Below are 19,896 nucleotides of genomic sequence, written 5' to 3' on the forward strand. Positions count from 1 at the left end.
CTCTACCCCAAAATTTCAAAATATATATTTCTCTCTGCACATGGCACTTTAAAATTGACCACACAATTGGCCATAAAACAATCCCCAGCAAACTGAAAAAAAAAAAAAAAAAAAAACCTGGAATCATACCAAGCATGCTCTTGGACCACAGCACAATAAAAATACATATCAATGCTAAGAAGATTGCTCAAAATCACAGAATTACGTGGAAATTAACCTGCTCCTGAATGACTTTTGAGTGAACAATGAAATTAAGGCAGAAATCAAGAATTTCTTTGAAACTACTGAGAACAAAGATAGAACGTACAAGAGTCACTGGGACACAACTAAAGCCTTATTAATAAGAAAGTTTATAGTGCAAAATGCCCATATCACATAACTAGGAAGATCTCAAATTAGCAACCTAACATGACACCTAGAGGAAGTAGAGAAACAAGAGCAAACCAACATCAAAGCTAGCAGAAGACAAGGAATAAACAAAACCAGGCCTGAACTGAAGGAAGTTGTAACATGCAAAAAACACAAATGTTCGCGTCCAGGAGTTGGTTCGCTGAAAGAGTAAATAAGATAAACCACTAGCTAGACTAATAAAGAAAAAAAAAAAAGAGATGATCCAAGTAAACATAAACAAATAACAAAGGGGACGTTACCACTTTAGGGATCCCACAGAAATACAAAAACCTTCAGAGACTATTAAAAACACCTCTATACACACATATGCTAGAAAACTTGGAAGAAACTGGTAAATTCCTGGACACATACAACCTCCCAAGATAGAACAAGGGAGAGACTGAATCCCTAAACAGACCAATAATGAGTTCCAAAATTGAATCAGTAATAAACAGACTACCAACCAGAAAAAGCCCAGGACCAGTTGGATTCACATCCAGATTTTACCAGATGTATAAAGAAGAGCTGGTCCCATTCCTACTGAAACTATTCCAAACTCTAACTCAGTCTATGAGTCCAGCATCATCCTGATACCAAAACCTGGAAGAGACACAAAGAAAACTATTAAAACTTCAGGCCTATATCCTTGATGAACGTAGATGCAACAGTCCTCAACAAAATACTAGCAAACCAAATCCAGCAGCAGGTTAAAAAGCTAATATTCCACAATCAGGTAGGCTTTATCCCTGAGAAGCAAGGTTGGCTTAACATATGCAAATCAATAAATGTGATTATTCACACAAATTAAAATAAAAAACCATATGATCATTTAAATAGACACACAAAATTATTTCAATAAAATTCAACATCCCTTCATGTTAAAAACCCTGAACAGACTAAGCATTGAGGGAATATATTTCAAAATAATAAGAGCCATCTATGAAAAACCCACAGCCAACATACTGAATGGGCAAAAGCTGGAAGCACTCACCTTCAAAACCAGAACAGACAGTGACACCCTCTCTCACTACTCATATTCAACATAATACTGGAAACTCTGGCCAGGGAAATCAGGCAGGAAGAATAAATAAAAGACATGCAAATAGAAAGGGAGAAAGCCAAACTATCCTTATTTTCAGATGATATGATACTGTACCTATAAAGCCCCATAGTCTCTTCTCAAAAGCTCCTAGATCTGATAAGGAACTTAAGCTAAGTTTCAGGATACAAAATCAATGTACAAAAATCAGTAGTAGCATTTCTATACACCAACATCAAAGCTAAGAATCATATCAATAATGCAATCCCATTCACAATGGCCATAAAAAAACTAGAAATACAGTTAAACAAAAAGGTGAAAGATCTCTATAATGAGAATTATATATTTATATTATAAAAATATAAAGCCAAATACGAAAAACTGCTCAAAATAATTTAATATTATAATATGACATATTTCCCCAAGTTAAATTATTAAACGTAAAGCACCAGGGCTAGATAAATCATTCTTAAAGAGCATTTTTATAATTTTTATAAATTAAATTTTAAACTTCATTCAATTTCTTGTAGCATTCAACTAAGTCAGCAGATTAACTTGAATTTGGAGAGTAACTGAAACACAATCTATCCAAAAAAAGTCATGTAGTAAAGTCTTGAGAGGGCCATTTCCCCAAGAATTCCCATAGTCATTTATTGCTCTTTGAGAGGACTGTGTCATCATCACATTAATTATTGGTACAGACAGCAGTTGTCAAGGGGAGAAATGGTTCTGAGAGAAAGCTGTATAAAAGAAGTCTTTCACCAGTGTGGCCCCCTGAAGGATAAATCACTTTTTTATTATAAAAGATTAAATTTTAAATCCATAAATACTGTTGTGTTCTGCTTAACAGCTCATAGTATTACACCACATCACATATTTTACAGATCATAAATGTACATCAAATACAGATGAAGTTTAGTGATCATAATCTTAACTATCTCACTGATATTTTTCTAAGAAGTGGAAAATGAACAGCAGGAAAAAAATCACAACTTTTGTAATAAAATATGGTTTGTTTTCAAAAGATTATTAAATATAATAAGACATAGTTTGTTTTCAAAATATTATGATTTATTGTTGTACTATAAAAACCAGAACAAGGTAGGTCAACTTTGATAAGCGAGTATAAATCTGCTTCTCAGAATTTCACTCTTTTTCTATCAAAAAGCTCTAAAGTTATCTTATGTGTGATAATTAGGTGAAATGAATATTCCTTTAAAAATAAAGGAGTTTGGCAGGCTATTCATAAGTTAAAGAAATGGTAAATTTTCTCAAGCATGAATTGTTATTTGAGACTATCCCATAAAACTATTATATTAAACATCAGGTGTTATCATTTTTCACATTCTTCCACACTTAACATGAAAAAGTAATGCAAATATGTGGGCATGATCAGTCAAGTTAAAAATGTAATGGTTCACCGAAAATGAAGAATCTAAAATTATAGTAACTGCACTAAAGATTTCCATCTATAACAGAAGCATGACCTTGAGCAATTCATACTTTTTCAGTTGCCTCATCTGTAAAATAAAAGTTTTATATATTCTGTGATTTCCAAGATTAGTTCCAGCCTAAGCATTCCATGATTTTAAAAATTATAAGAGAGACAATAGTTTGCTGGTGATCCGTGGTCCACGGCAGTTAAGAATAAGCAGTTTTATTGTTGGAGCATTTTCTTATACATTACAAAATAAAACTTCACACAAAAATTTGACATCATAGAATATTCTTATTTCGGTATTCATCATTCTGAATCAAACATAGATCTGGTAATAATCAGCATAAAACCACTCATATGGGAACTTAAAGAGCCATCAAGACTTTAAATGCCTTACATACCTTGCCAGCTTAATTTGATCAGAGACTATAGAACTACATTTTTATTTAGAGGCAGGTATTAAGTCTGTCATTGACTTTCCCATATCCAGAGATAAAAATATGTTATTCCAAGAAACATCATCAAGTTATACCATATTTAAATGTATGATTTATGAAAAGAAACTTCTATTCAAGACTGTAACTGGTTAATTGATCAAGTGAAAAAGGACACATTATTCTTTATACTCCAACATATTTCTACCTTATTTCACTACTATGCAAATTTTTCATGTACATTTCTAAGACTGCCCAATTTAATATTCAAGAGAACATGATTATAAAGCAAATCTAATAAAGTTTATTTTAAAAACATATACCTATGTAACACAGCTTTCATGCAATAGAGTCTAGCTCAAAAAAATTCCATGCCCAAAATACTTCATCTCAAAGATAAATTTTATGGTTTGCTGGGCTTTAACAATTTTATCCCTGTTTGAAATAATTGTAGACAAAGCATCTAGTTAATTATATTTACTAAAGTTTATCATATTAGAAGACAATTGGTAAACCAGAGCATTTATTTCTGTAATCGTTACTATTAGGATAATTACATGGTCCTTGCTTCACATTCACTCTTCAGAAAGTAAATTATCAGCTTGAATCTTTGAGTTTACATTTTAGTTTCCTTCATTCATTTGACCAAAAAAAATCCCTCTGTTTACCCATTGAAATGTATGAATATAATTGATAAAACCATGCCACTGAATGCTATCTTTTATAATCAATGATCTATTGGTGAAAAAATAGTTTAAAGAAAGATGTAACATTAAGAATGATATCATAATTATTTTATGAATAAACTTTGATTATAGAAGACTATAGGTTATAATCTAAGAGTCTAATAACCACCATGTGACTTTCTTAGATATATTAGTAATAATTCCCTGCTGATTTTCTAATGTTACATATTTAGTATTATTAACTCTACTCCGTTTTATAGTAAGGATATACATTTTAACATGAACCAAAGATAATCAAGTGGGTGTACATATTTGGAAAAATTGATATATCATTTATATTTTGAATAAATGATTAAAATATCTGATTATGCCTCCTACATTCACAGAACAAAAATGCTGTAGCCTTCAGTTGAAAATTACCCTCACCATTGCACTTTCAAAAGTTTTCCTTCCCCTATGTCAGTATCATGTGCTTGCATACACTTACATTATGAAGCTTCAAATATTTATTTTATAAAAGTGAATAATTAAAATACCGTCTTCTTTTATCATTTCTAAATCAATTATATGAGAACAAAGTATATATGGTAGTACCTTTGGATACTGCTTGACAGGAATCAGTACTCTTTCTGAGAGCTTTATGTTTTTGTTGCTGATGACATCAAGATACTTCTTTTCTTCGTCTTCCTTTTTTCCATCAGAACCTTGAAACTTTTCAATTTCTGGAAGAAAATCACAAGAAGAAAACAAGTGAAATGAGGAACAATGTTATCATAAATATGCTGAAAAATGTTATCATAAATAATATTCATATTACTCCTCTTCTCAAATAAGATTTTGATGAATATTGATAAAAGGCCTGAAACAGCATCTCACCAACAGTTATGTGAATGCTGCTACTGTATGTAAGAGAACCTCTGTCAACTCAAACTAAAAAGCGATAATTGAAGATGTGACTGTGTCTTCTGTGAAAAAATTGATGAATTTAATTAATTTTTAATATCTTCAAACACAACAAAAAGGTAATATATGCCCTTTGACTATTTAAACTATTTTAGCAAACTTAATTTTTTCCAGGAGCAATAAATAGAACAAAATACATTTTAAGGATATATGCTTTATTTTTACTCAGAATTATTCCTAAGAAAATAAAAATAATTAAAATGGTAATTATTCAGTTAGCTAAAATAGGTAGTAAAGAGAAATTGCATGATATTTCACTAGGAATCATAGAAAAGTCATATAAATGATTAAATCTATAAATGCTAACATTCATATTCATCAATAAGACATTATATAGGTGTTTAAGAAAAATATTAGAATATTACCAAATTCGATATTTTGGAGCATACTTATCCACTCCTTCATTTTTGAATCAATTTATTCCATAAAAAATATTAAATCTCTACTAGGTACCAGAAATACAACAGAAAACAATAAAATGTCTCTGTTTTTATAGACTCTATATTCTAATGTGGAAAAGGAACAGTGAGAAAATGAATATATGGGCACACATACAGTTATGGCTGGGGGCAAATAATAAACACAATATGCTGTTAAGAATACAAAGGAGACTCAAGCAGTGGCTATTACTTCAGATTTGAAGGGTGATATTTGATCAAAGCCCTGAATGACAGAGAAGAATAAGCCATGAGAAGACTAAGAAGAGCTTAACAGTCTGATGAAAACCAAGCTTTGCTTGCTCTTGGAATAGAAGAAGCAAGAAAGCCTGTGTGGCTGAAGAATAGTGAATGTGGAAAAAAGGCTTGGTAAGTGATTATAGGACAGATCATGTAAGAACCTGTAGAATACATGATGTTTTCTGCTTTATATTGTGACTGCAATGGTAAGCCTCTGGATCACTTTGAAGAGTAAAGGAAGGCAGCCACATTGTATTTTTATTTTTAAAGATAACATAGTATGTAATATGCAAAATCAATCACAGCAGAAGGCAAGCAAAAAAGGAAACCAACTTACATTTGTCTAGTTGAGAAACGAGGCTGACAAAGTAGGAATGAGACGTTAAAAGACTGTGTAGTTACAACTACAGTCATCTCATGCAATGCACTATGTAAAATAAGTGTTTTGGAGAATTGTTAAAAATTCATTTTAAAAATTACCTTTATGTTTTTTATATAGTTATTATAATGATCATAACATAATCAGTAAATATTTCTTTTTGTTCTTTGCTCTTAGTCAATGTACTAAAATACTAACTAAGATAAGAATGTGACAGTGTTTTACTTTTGCTATGGATAGAACAAAACATTATACTTTTGTTATTTTGGAGTAGAGAAAAGGTGATGATAGTTATTAAGTATGAACATGTTTCATATAAATTTATTTATATTGCATTTTACAACAATTATCTTTTAAAGGTCTGACTATTTCCAAAGGTAAGGGGAATATATATTTTATCTAATAGTTTTGTTTTTTGTTATTCTATCTTTAACTAACATTTTTCCCCCAAATGTTTTCAAATGGCTTAAAGAAAAATTCCTAAAACATTTCAATTAGTAATCTTTTCGCATACTATTTATTTGGGCTGTGTGGAATTTAAAAGAATTATTTTGGAGTAATATTACATTACTTACCCAGGTAATACCTGAGTGAAATCTACACTGCATAATTTTTACGAAGTCATTTATAATCATCTTATCAGTTACACGGTACAATTTCCCTAAAGACAAGTATCTTGAACTAAACTGAATTGTTTGAAAATAAGTTATATGTCTATAATTTCTACTTAGTGTGATAACATCAGATTCCTATATTCTACATGGAAGTATTAACAAGCCACTTTAACTAACTGACTTGTTAAATTGAAAATCACTTTATTCCAACCTTTCCATCCCTTATATAATTAATACAACCACAATTATGATAATTGCAAAGAAAATCCATTCATCATGTCCTCTGATACTAAGAATAAACTTTTGATCACTGCCCTATGGGTGTATACACCTACATAATGTCATACTTTGTAGCTTGCTGAGGTAATCGTAATGTGGAACACAGTGAAGAAGCTGACTCAATTCCTGATCTATAATACATATGGCTTCTCCCTTGTTACTTTTTCATAAAAATAAATTGAATTTGTCTGAAATTATTTGTCAACCACAAAACTACTACCTTAGGCTTTTTTAGACATCTGCAATTTGATCAGGCCAGGATTAATTCTAATAACCTTTCCATCAAGAAATGGAGTTAAATGAAATATCATTTCCACTGCTATTTCTGTTCAATTCTACAATTTTCTTCTGAAGTTTTTTGGTATTATTTTGCCCTCCTAATACTTTCAGGGAGTTATCTTGTCTTCTTTGGCATATCTCCATGACTAATAGATCAATACTTGTATTTGTCAAATGCATAGTAACAAAATGGTATATGCCAAACTTGCCTGAGTTTAAAACCAAAGAAAGCTTCATCCATGTCTCTGCGAAGGACATGAACTTATCATTTTTTATGACTGCATAGTAAACCATCATCCTCAGCAAACTAACACAAGAACAGAAAACCAAACACTACATGTTCCAGAGATCCAGAACAATGTGGGGATGCCCCGTCTTACAACTTCTATTCAACGTACTACTGGAAGACCTAACCAGAGCAATTATGCAAGGGGAAAAATAGGCATCCAAATAAGGAAAGTAAAAATAAAGATATCTGTTTGCAGTTGACATGATCTGATATGTAGGAAACGCCTAAAGACTTCACGTAAAAACTATTAGAACTAATAAGTGAATTCAGGAAAGTTGCAAAATATAAAATCAACATCCAAAAATCAGTTCCATTTCTATATACTAGCAACAAACTATCCAAAAAAGAAATTAAGAAAGCAATCTTATTTAAAATAGCATCAGAAAGAATAAAACACTTGGGAGTAAACTTAGTTAAGCTGGTTAACGACTTGTACGCTGAAAACCAAAAGCATTGATGAAATAAATCAAAGGAGACAAAAATAAATGAAAAGACACTTTATGTTTATAGATTGGAAGAATTAATATTGTTAAAATGTCCATAATACCCCAATAACCTAAAGATTCAGTTCAATCTCTGTCAAAATCCCAATGACATTTTTTACAAAAATAGAAAAAATAATCCCCAAATTTATATAAAATGATAAAAGAACTTCAAATGGCCAAAGTAATTTTGAGAAAATACACAACTGGAGACATCACACTTCCCAATTTCAAAATATATTATAAAGTCATAGTAATCAAAACAGTATTATACTGGCATAAAAACAGAAATATAGACTAGTGGAACATAACATGGAGTCCAGACATGAATCTATACATGTATGTTCAATTGTTCTTTGACACAGGTGCCAAGAATGTACAAGGGAGAAAAAAAGTCTCTTCAATAAATAGTGTTGAGAAAACTGGATGTCCACATGCACAACAATAAAATTGGACTCTTCTCTTACACTGCACAAAAAAAAAAAAAATCAACTCAAAGTGAATTAAAGACTTAAACATAAGACCAGAAATTGTAAGAGTCCTGGAAGAAAAAGGGGTAAATGCTTCTTGACATTGGTGTGGGGAATAATTTCTTAGCTATGATCACAAAAGCATAAGCAACAAAAGCAAAAATAGACAAGTGGGATTATATCAAACAAACAGTTTCTACACAGCAAAAGAAACAGTCAACAAAATGAAAATGTGACTTACAGAATGGAATGAAATATTTGAAAACCATATATCTGATAATAGATCTGATATCCAAAATACATAAGGAACTCCTACAACTTAATAGCAAGAAACCAAATAATGAATTCAAAATTGGCAAAGAACCTGAATAGGCATTTCTCCAAAGATGATATGCAAATGGACAATGGCAATATGAAGAGATGCTGGACATCACTAATCGTCAGAGAAATGCAAATCAAAGCAACAATGAATTATTACTTCACACCTGTTAGGATGGCTATTATTGAAAAAAGAAAGTTGGCAAGGATGTGGATAAAAGGGAATCCTTGTACATTATTGATGAAAATGTAAACTGGTGAATCCACTAACTATGAAAAACAGTATAGAGATTCCTTAAAAAAAATTAACCTACCATATGACCTAGTTGTTATGGTCTGAAAGTTTGTGCCCCCACCAAATTCATATGTTCAAATCCTGACTCCAAGATGACAGTATTAAAAGGTTAGGCCTTTGGGAGGTGATTATTTCATGAGAATGGAACCCTCATGAATGAGATTCATGCTCTTAAAAAAGAGGCCTGAGGGAGAGCCCCCAACACAACTTCCACCATGGGAACACAGCTAGAAGGTAAGGAGACAGCTACATGGCAGCATCCACAAAACAGAAAGTGGGCCCCTACCCAGATACTGAATCTGCCAGCACCAAGATCTTGGACTTCCTAAACTTCAGAGCTATGATAAATAAATGAGTAAGTTAAGGGAGCTCATTCACCCCTTCAACAATGTGAAGACACAAGAAAAAAGCATCATCTATGAAGCAGGAAATAAGCCCCCACCAGAAACCAAACCTACTGGATCTTGGAATTTTCCAAGATTTTGAATTTTCTTGGATTTTCCAGCCTCTAGAATTGTGAGAAATAAATGTTTATTGTTTGTAAGGCACTCCATTTATGGTATTTTATTATAGCAGTCCTAACAGACTAAGAGACCATAAATTTATATATGAGGAATCTACAATAGTCAAACTCATAGAAGCAAGAAGTATGGTGATGACGGGGACTGAGAGAAGGAGGAAACAGGGAAGTGTTGGTTAAGAGATACAAAGTTTCAGCTGTAAACAATGAACAAGTCCTAGAGAACCACTGTACAACATAGTGCCTATAGTTAACATTACTGTATTGTTGGCTTAAAAATTTGCTAAGAGGGTAGATCTTGTATTAAGTGTTTTACCACAAAAATAAATAAATGTAGTGGGATGAAACTTTTTGAGGTGATAGATAATGACTATGGTATTGGTTGTTAATGGTTTCATAGGGGTATACTTCTCTCCAAATTCATCAAGCTGTATATATTACATATGTACAGCTTTTTGTATGTCAGCCATATCTCAATAAAGTGGATGAATTTTTTGAAGGTTTTGTTTTTTGTTATTTTGTTTTGTTTTACAATAAAGGATTATAGAAAATAGGAGATGCAATTGCGTGGACTGGCAAGTCATACTATATAATTCTTTTATATTAAGAATGTTTCTTCATTTTGCTGAAGCTCTTTCAAAAATATTTTTAATACCTCCCCTATATGTATAGTTTAGTATAGTCTATAATTTCAAAATTCAGTGTCAAGGTAAAGATTATTTAATACTCTTTCTGAAAATACGAGTAATATTTCAGTGAAAGGAGCTATTTGAATATGTGAATCTTTACCTTGTCAAGTTACTTTCTTAACCCATGTGATTTTTTTCCTGCAACAAAATTCATACTTCCTGAACTAGCTACACTAAATGTTTAACACTGGCTTCCCACACACTTCTAGTATTTATCGGACCTCAAAATAGAATTTGCTTAAGATTTTAGAACCCTTAATAGCTATAAAATTAACATATTAAGATTGTGTCTGTATTTTGATGCTTAACACAAGTTATTTTGTGGTGATTATATTTCTTTTTATGATTGGCACATTGTTGAGGCTCATATTTTTAAATATATATGACATAATTACACATGCACAAACGCAGAAATCACAATTATCTGCTTATATTTTAAGTTGGTTATTTAAGATGGATTTTAAAATTATATATTTTCCTCTAAAGTCAAAATTTATGTAAATTTAAATAAATGAAGTGTTTCCCAGTCATTTCAAACACAACATAGAGCTATATAGAACTAAATATTAAATAGTACTAAATATGTACATCAAGTACCAATTACATAGAACTATTTATGCCTAATTTCTTTATAGAGGGTGAATTACATGGTCTTCCAGATATTTATATTCCTAAAATTAAAAATAAAGAGAAGAGACAAATTTACAATATGTGCAAAAAGAAGTTTCTAGTTCTATGGAAATTTTCAGAATCCAGATACATTTAATTATCGAGAAGACTTCAAAAATAATCTTTTGACACTATATAAAAGAACATTTACATGCAAGATATAATTTTAGAATGTATTTAATGAAGAACATGGAATTCGTCTGTGAAGAAAATATTTTTTGTTAATGAAATGAAAATGACCTTGAAATATAACAATAGGGTAGAATGCCAGTATTCAATGTTTTTGAATTTTTGCTCATCTATGATCAAAATTCAATGAGAGGTTGTAAAACACCTAACTTTTCTTTACGAATATTTTTGGAAGGAACTTTAACTATTTTACAAATGATACTTAACTACCTGGTAATTAAAACTCATTATAAATGGAACACGGACAACTTATATTTAAATAATATCACCAAGTAAAGTTTATACCACTTTTTTCCACTCTGAAATTATGCTTTTTTAGTTTCCAAGTAAAAATGCATTTTGCTTTTTGTATTTGAATACAGAACCAAACTTTTAATAATTAGTGTTAATAGAATAGAATAATGCAACACAGAAGAATAATTTTCATCTTCCTTTTACAAATTTTCACATGAAAATTTAGAGATTATGTATACTATATTATAATAAGCTTCCATCACTTCGAAATCTAAGTCCAGAATAAAAGGGCAAATAGACTACAATTGTCATGAAATAAAAACCTAACATGAATCACAGAATACAAGGAAACGACTTTGCACAAATTTTACCTCTTTGATACTCACGAGAAAGATAGAAAATTTCAAATTTCAGTATCAAAAAATGGGTGAAGAAACATCAATGGAACTTTGCCACGAATATCTGCATTATAACCCTGTAGAGTCTGTAACAATTATCCCACTTTCCAAATAAAGAAACGGGAGTTCAAAGAGCATATATAATACATATTATAAATACATAAAAGAAAAGAGAGAAAAAGAATGTAAAAATTGAGGAGTCCTTAATGTAGCTTTACATTTAATAATGCAAACAAAAGGGATTAAACAGAAGCCAATCTTTGCTTTAAAATACCATTTAGAAATTTGTCTTCATATAAAACATTTTCCAGGGAGTGGGCAATTAAAGTTCATGTTTTGCCTTAACTACTTCTAGGAAGCTCAAGGCTAAGTCTGTCTTCAAATAGCTCTAACTTTCCTCAGATAAGGATTTCTTGCATAATTCTTTTTCTTTTCATCATATTTACAACTTTTTATTTGTTTTATTCTGCAGGAATACTTTATTTTTATCTTGTACTTGCTTTTATATAAGGTGCCTCAAATTCACCTCAGAAATAGGTATGTGATTAAATGCCACTTTAAAATTATTATGCTGCATTAATAATATTAATCCAACAGTCCACACTAATGCAAAATTTCTTTGAGCTCCCTTTGCGGTTTTTGGAGTTAAATCTGGGTGCTAAAATATCTTTGTCACCTGCTGGCTACATGATCTTAAGCAAGTTAGTTAGCCTCTGTTTACTTATCTTTTTAAAATAAAGTAAATCTTTCAAATGATGTTATTATAACGATTAGCATTTTGTGCATTGTTGTCTGGCAATAATTATTGCATTGTTTTGATATTATTACACCTCACATTTGTCTCCCTGTATTTTGTAACCTCTTAGCAGGAAGTTTATTTTACCCATCGTTATAGCCTCGGTTATTAGGCCAAAGCAGAATAGGAAATTATACCCTAAACCTGTGTTTTACATCATAGAAAAATAAAATGGGTAATTTCTCACAGAACAAACCTTAAATGATAACATGCTAACCTTAAATCTGAACTATGTTGCTAGCAAAACAGATGGTCCTAAGTCATGGATCTCCCAGGCTAAAGGTCAGCAGGTCATAGTTTAGTGAATACTGGTCTAATTCCACAACAATTTAAGGGATGGAAAGTTGTTCTTGAATATAGAATCATATTTTCCTTTTTATTGAAGGCATAAGAGACTGTCAGATCCATTAATGACAAATCAGTGCTAAATAATATTAAGTATCTTCACAAGTAATTATTTTTGATTATTGAAGTAGAAATAGAGACATTAACTGCTAGACAATTTAAATATGATCCAGGCATTTATTTTCAATGATAATTAATCATAAGATAGTTAACTGTTTTAATCACTACTCATTTATTTTAATGCCCTAAACCCACTAAAATTCTGAAACTATCTGATACTCCAATCCCCATTTCCTGTTTGCTTATCCAAATTATAACCACTTCAAGGCTTGGCTTACAGTTCCTCTCCCTCATGGAGTTGTACAGAGTAACTCAGAAATTTCACTCTTTATAAACTCCTACCACCTAATTCGTATGTTAAATATTCAGGTTGTACTATTTTGCGTATAAGATAAGACCACAACCTAACACAGTGGCCTTGAACAAGTCACTTAAGCTTTCTGGACTTCTATTGTTCCTCCCCACCCATTCACCCTAATGTGGGAATCAAATCTTATGAGGGGCATCCTAGTATATTCTTAAGAATGCAGGCTTCTGGATACAGTATTGTATCTGCCACTTGTTAACTGTGTGACACTTGCCAACAAGTGATGATGACAGTTATTGCTTTCTAAGCCTTTTCTATGTATTAGGCAATGATCAATTTCTGCACATATTCTAGTTCATTTACTTAGTTTACTTAAGTTTTCTGCATCACATTGCTTAGTTTAAAACGGGAATAATATCCTCCTAAAACGGCTGTAAGGATTAAGTGAGTCAAATTTTCAAAAGTACGTAGAATAGCATTTGGTACACAATAAGAGCATAACGAATACTAGCTATTATCATTTTATTTACTTGCATTTGGGGGCTGGACATGAGACTTCACTGAAGTTTTGTATCATTAAAACCAAACATCGTGACAGTCAATGTCATGTATTTCACAAGCTTACATCTTGTCTTTAAGTAGATTGTTAATTATTGATGGTATACCCATGACTTACATTTGAATGTGTCCTTTATCAGACTAATATCATTATATAAATGCTAGGAATATCATACATATTCATTTAAATATGAAATAGGACAAAATGAAGGAGAAAATGCAGCTATGGTGATGATAAGAATAGGGTGTGGTATAAATTTGCTGAAACTATCATCAAAAAAATGTTGGAATCTTTTGGATAGTATTGTCATCTAACATTAAGCAGTGGTACCTCACAAAAGGCAAGAGTTAAAGATTTATTTATTTTTAACTGTGTTGAGACTCAGACACAAATTCTTAAATTTTAATGTTAAGAACTTTAATGGGTTTCTTAAAAGAATAAAACATTTTATTGATACTCATTCCATATATATCTACATGTAGTCGTCCCATTTCGGTCCCTTTCTTTGAATGTATTCAGTGTTTTGAATTAGTTCTTGCTAAGTTAAATACACATAGATTTCAACACAACAAAAAAAAATTCAGGACACATATTTCTCCTTGCTGAGCAACCATAATCATATTACATAAGAAAAGTAGCAGATCTTACATTGATATTCCACTTTGTGTGTCAGAGTTCCACAGTCCATCATGCTGGCAAAGACAACATCAAGTTTCCTTAAACTTGCACCTGGTGCAAAGAATTGCTCAAGTGATTTGTATGCATTATATCATTCCATCTTCATATTAACTCACGACGATATAAACAAATATTACCTACATTATACAAAAGGAAAACCTGAATATTAATTTTTCCAATTGTACAGCAAGGAAAGTAAGAGATTTGAATAATAAAGCCCAGGTTCTGAACCATTATATCAATCATTCATATTCTTACTCATGCACTCTTTCATTTAATAATTATTTATTGAAGGCCTACTATTGTCCCAGGCACCATCCCAGAAACTGAACACTGTGGTGAAGCAAAATCTGTGCCTTCTTCAATCTTACAGTCTAGGGAGGTAGAAAGTAAATGAATAGGTAAATTATAATGTAATTCAGAAAGATATTTTTTAAAAGTTTTACTAATGTAAGTTTATATACAAAATATTGAACATATTTTTATTATTATATTTTGATGACTTTTAACATATGCATACAGCCATGACTCCATCACTGCAATTAGTATACTAAATATATTCATCATTTCCAAAAATTTCCCTGTGTTCTTTTGTGTGTGTGCTATGGTTTGGTTTAATTTTTTTGCGGGGGAGGGGACGTTGTTTGCTCTTTGTGTTAAGAATACTCAAGGTGAAATCTATCCTCTTAACTTATTTTAAAGTACACAATGCTGTATTGTTAATTGTAAGTACTATGTTGCACAGCAGTATATTTGTCCATTTGCATTGCTATAAAAGAATACCTGAGGCTGGGTAATTTATAAAGAAAAGAGGTTTACTTGGCTCATGATTGTCAGCAGTAGGAACATGGTGCCAGCATCTGCTTGGCTTTTGGTGAGACCCAGAAAGCTTTTGGTCATGGCGAAAAGGAAGGGGAGCCAGCATGTCACACGGTGAGACAAGGAGCAAGAGAGAGAGGAGGAGGGACCAGGCTGCTTTAAACAACCAGCTCTCAGGTGAACTACCAGAGCAAGAGCTCACTCATTACCATGGGGAAAGCACCAATCCATTCATGAGGGATCTGCCCTCATGACCCAAACACCTCCCACTAGCCTCCACCTTCAACACTGGGGATTCTATTTCATCATGAGATTTGGAGAGGACAAATATTCAAACCATATCAAGCAGGTCTCTAGAACTTATCATCTTGTATAATAAATATTATATCCATTGAGCAACAATTCCTACTTCTCCCTTGCTCCAGCCCCTGGTAATCACAATTCTATTCTTTGCTTCCATGCATTTGACTATTTTAGATATCAGATGTAAGTGGAATCATGTAGCGATTGTCCTTCTGTGACACGTAGCATAATGTCCTCCAGGTCCATCCATGTTGTCACAAATGGAAATAAATGTTGTGAAAAATGTAAAAGAGGGTAATGGCATATAAAATGGTGAGAAGTGAGTGATGTTTAGATAAGCGTGATTAAAAATGGCCTCTGAGAAAGTCATCCTTGATCAGAGACATTAATTAAGTATGGGAAATAAATGCATGAAGATCTGGGGTAGAGTTTTCAAGGAAAATGAAACAACGTGCAAGACATCTCAGGCTGGAAAGAATTTGGCACATTTAAGAAATTGCTAGAAGGGTGATGTGTTTAGTGTGGCATGAATGTGGGAGAAAGGGACAGAAAGTCTACCACTTCTGAAAATAGGTCATTAGAAACACTGTGGTTCCCTTTTCACTCTTTCTCTTAGAAAACGTGTCAGTAGGCTGGGTGCGGTGGCTCACGCCTGTAATCCTAGCACTTTGAGAGGCAGAGGCAGGTGGATCACTTGAGGTCAGGAGTTCAAAACCTGCCTGACCAACATGGTGAAACCCCATCTCTACTAAAAATTCAAAAGATTAGCCACGTGTGGTGGCATGTGCCTGTAATCCCATCTACTCAAAGGGCTGAGGCAGGAGAATTGCTTGAACACGGGAGGTGGAGGTTGCCGTGAGCCAAGATTGTGCCACTGACCCCTCCAGCCTGAGCGACAGAGCAAGAGTCTGTCTCCAAGAAACAAAAAACAAAAAAAAAAGAAGAAGAAAGAAAAAGAACATGCGTCAGAGGGAAGTCAGGTACCATGTCCTGAGAACATTCAATCAGCCCTATGTAGAGGTCCATGTTGTGAGGAACTGAAGCCTTTTGCTAACAGCAGTGTGAGAGAGCCACCTTAGAAATAAGTCCTCTCTCAACAGTAAGGCTTTCAAATGACCACCACTTCTTTTTTTTAAATTTTTTATTTTATTTTATTATTATTATACTTTCACTTCTTAAGAGACTCTGGGCCAGAACTGTGCATCCAGGCTTTTCCAAAATTCCTTAACTATGGAAACAGCCAGATAGTAAGTGTTTGCCATTTTAAGCGCTTAGGTTTTGAGGTAATTTATTATGCAACAATAAGTAACATCATGAGACAGAACTTTTATTTTCTTCTAAGTGCAATGCTAAAATTTTGAAGAATTTTAGCACAGTTTTAATCTGATTTGAGCAGAGGCAGGAAGATCAGTTGTGAGGCAGTTGCACTAGACCAGGTGAGATATGATGAAGGATAAAGTGTTAGAGGTAAAGGTCTACAAATTGGTTGGATTATTTGGAAGGTAGAGGTTTGCTGTAGATAGAATGGAAGTCTAAGAAAAAGGGGAGAAATCAACAGTGACTCTCAGGTTTTTGGCTTGAGTAAGTAGGTGAGGAGTAGCAACATTTACAGATATAAAAATGACTGGCAGAAGAACAGGCTTGGCTGGGAAAAATGTAAGTTGTACTTTGGCTACACTTAGGTGAGACCTAATAAGAGATGTAGAATCAGGAGTTGGATGAGGAATTCTGGAGCCTAAGGAAAAGGTTGGGGGTTGACATGTAAATGTTTGTGTCATTAGCATATGATTGATGCTCGAATTTATAGGAGTGGGAGAGAGGAAGGAAGATCGCCAAGGACTGAGCCCAGTGATACTCTAATATGCAAAGTTCAGGAAGAGAATGAGAATCCAGCAAATGAAGTAAGAAGGGGCAATGAATGCAAGAGGAAGAAAATCAGGAAAATGTAGATCACAAGATTCAAGTGCAGAAAGTATCTTAAGAAAAAGAAAGAAATCAACTGACTCATCCTACTGAGAAGTATAGTTAAATGGAAGCTGAGTTTTGACTACTGGCATTGGCAAGGTGAAAGATGCTGCGTATCTTTATAAGAACAATTTTAGACACTCTTTAGAGTGGATTTATGAGAGAACAGGTGAAGAGGATGTGGCCACAGTATGAAGCTTCCTCCTACACCTCAGTAGGGTTACCCTGGTTCATTGCCTTCCTGAACCTTTTTCTAAATTCTTGAGACCATCAGTACTGCAGTTCCTTCAACCAAATAACATTTTCCCCTTTCCTTTTATATTTGGAACAAAATCCTTTTGTTGAGGTCGTCTGCGCTAAGGACACTTCCAGTTGATTTCACCCATTGCGATAATACACATCTACCATCTTTCATCTTTTTAGACACCAAGCCCAAACTACCTTCCTGGGTTTCATACTTTTTTCAATATTTTACTCTATATTTACATTCTAAAATTTTTAATACAAATAAAACTCAGCGCATCTCAAACTGTACTTTAAAACCTATTAGCTCTAAAACCTATTCTTTCACTATCTTCTCTTTTACCACAATCTTCCTAAGTCACCCAAGAACAACAAAACCAGAAATCTCAGCCATGTGAGCAAGAGTTACTCCCTGGTACTCCCCACTCTATATGCAGTAGTCAAGGAATCCTGTTGATTCCATCTCTGGAGCTTCTCTCATATGGAGCTTCTCCACTCAGATACTCTCTCACTGCCTCAATTCACTTTCCCATCATTCTCACCTGAATAGGCAGGACCCCTTCAACCAGTTTCCCTGAAAATCCATATAAAACTTGTCTTCCACATCCAAGCTGTCTTTCTAAAACACAGATCTGAGCATTCCACTTTTCTCTCTTCTGTTGGAGTATGGTATCTGAACTGTGTTTATTCCCTGGCTGTACTAAGCATTCAAATCTTTGTTGAATGAATGAGTGTCACTACCCTGACATGTACCTGCTTCTCACTGTTGAAGGTTAAATTCTAATTTTTATCTGGTCACTAAAAATTGATCAACCGTTCTAGTCTTATTGCTCACCACTTTCTAGTCTTCTTTCTTGCCATCCTGAAACAGGCACGTTGTAGTCTATCCTCATACATACTCTGAGCAAACGATACTCTCAAAGTCCTTAGGCTTTTGCTGATGATCTTCCCTCCTTCCTCTGACCAGTGGAGAATTACTCCATCTTTAAGGCAGGCCCAGTTTTAATACTCATTTTGCATGACTGCCCCATCCCAGGTCTCCCTTAGCACTTTGTACTCTAAATGCAACACTTTTGTCACTTTTTAATGTGCTATTTGCAAGTGTTTTCCTCATTAGACTATGACTTCCTTGAAGCCAAGGACCATATCACATTTATTATTTTTCACTCCCAGCACTCATTACAATAGATAACTTAGAATTTAAACTCAGTCAGGCCCACCCATCAGCCTGTCCCTCTGAATAAATCTTTCTAGAAGAATATCACTTGGTTTTTAATGTGAAAATTTCATAAAACATACACGGCTCTCAACACAATGATTTTTACACTGCTGTTTACACCAGAAAACTTACATTTATTTCCACAAAACATGGTACTAAACTTTAAAATTCATATTTATTTCCACAAAATGCAATACATTTTTAAAATCTGGATTTTTTAAATATCATGTACGCATCTTGGAAACCACAACAAAAGAGTGACATCTAAGAGGTGACACAAATTTAAAAAAACTTTTTTTAACAACCTTATTGATCAGTGATTAGAAAGTGATATTTTATGCATTTTAAAACCTAGCATAATCTCTTGTTACTTATATGTTAATGGTTAAGTATAATTTGGGTTATATTGTAGAAAGCTGTCTGAAAGTTTTGGATTGACATGCAATGCATTATAACTTTTTCATGTAAAATATTAGAAAATAAGCTCTCAGAGAGCTTATTTTATTCAATATATCTGATCAATCAGTAGATCTGATATTGATATAAAAAAGCAATAAATCTGATTTTTTAAATGAATTATTAATTGGGAACAACCTGTACTCATTACTAAGTTATTTCTGATTTTCTCACATTCAAATTCAATTGCATTTATTTCCAGAACATGAGTAGAACATATGTCCTATGTGTGTGTAAAAAAATAAGAGGCTTTACTGTTGCCAAAGATATCTTGAAATTTACTATCTTAATGAAAAGAAAACAACACATTTAAAATCAGCAACTCAAGTTGCATTGGTTTGGTTCAAATGAAAAGACTTTTTTCCTGATCCTACTTCTACTGTGATGATTATATAAAATGGCATTCACCATTTAG

The 19,896-nt window shown here is 32.8% G+C and overlaps 1 protein-coding gene across 7 annotated transcripts in view; it reads right to left on the minus strand.

Annotated features, from left to right (window-relative positions):
- Positions 1-19,896, minus strand: part of KHDRBS2 (KH RNA binding domain containing, signal transduction associated 2) — a 743,556-nt gene that overhangs the window by 629,934 nt on the left and 93,726 nt on the right. For all 7 annotated transcript variants that reach the window (NR_146870.2, NR_146873.3, NR_146874.3 and 4 more), the window contains exon 2: positions 4,582-4,709. Coding sequence is in view for 2 of the 7 variants with exons in the window: in NM_152688.4 (NP_689901.2) it covers positions 4,582-4,709 (128 nt within the window). In the remaining 5 variants the exon portion in view is untranslated. The remainder of the gene's footprint in view (positions 1-4,581; positions 4,710-19,896) is intronic.

Source organism: Homo sapiens, chromosome 6, assembly GCF_000001405.40.
Source record: "Homo sapiens chromosome 6, GRCh38.p14 Primary Assembly".
Lineage (NCBI taxonomy): Eukaryota > Metazoa > Chordata > Mammalia > Primates > Hominidae > Homo > Homo sapiens.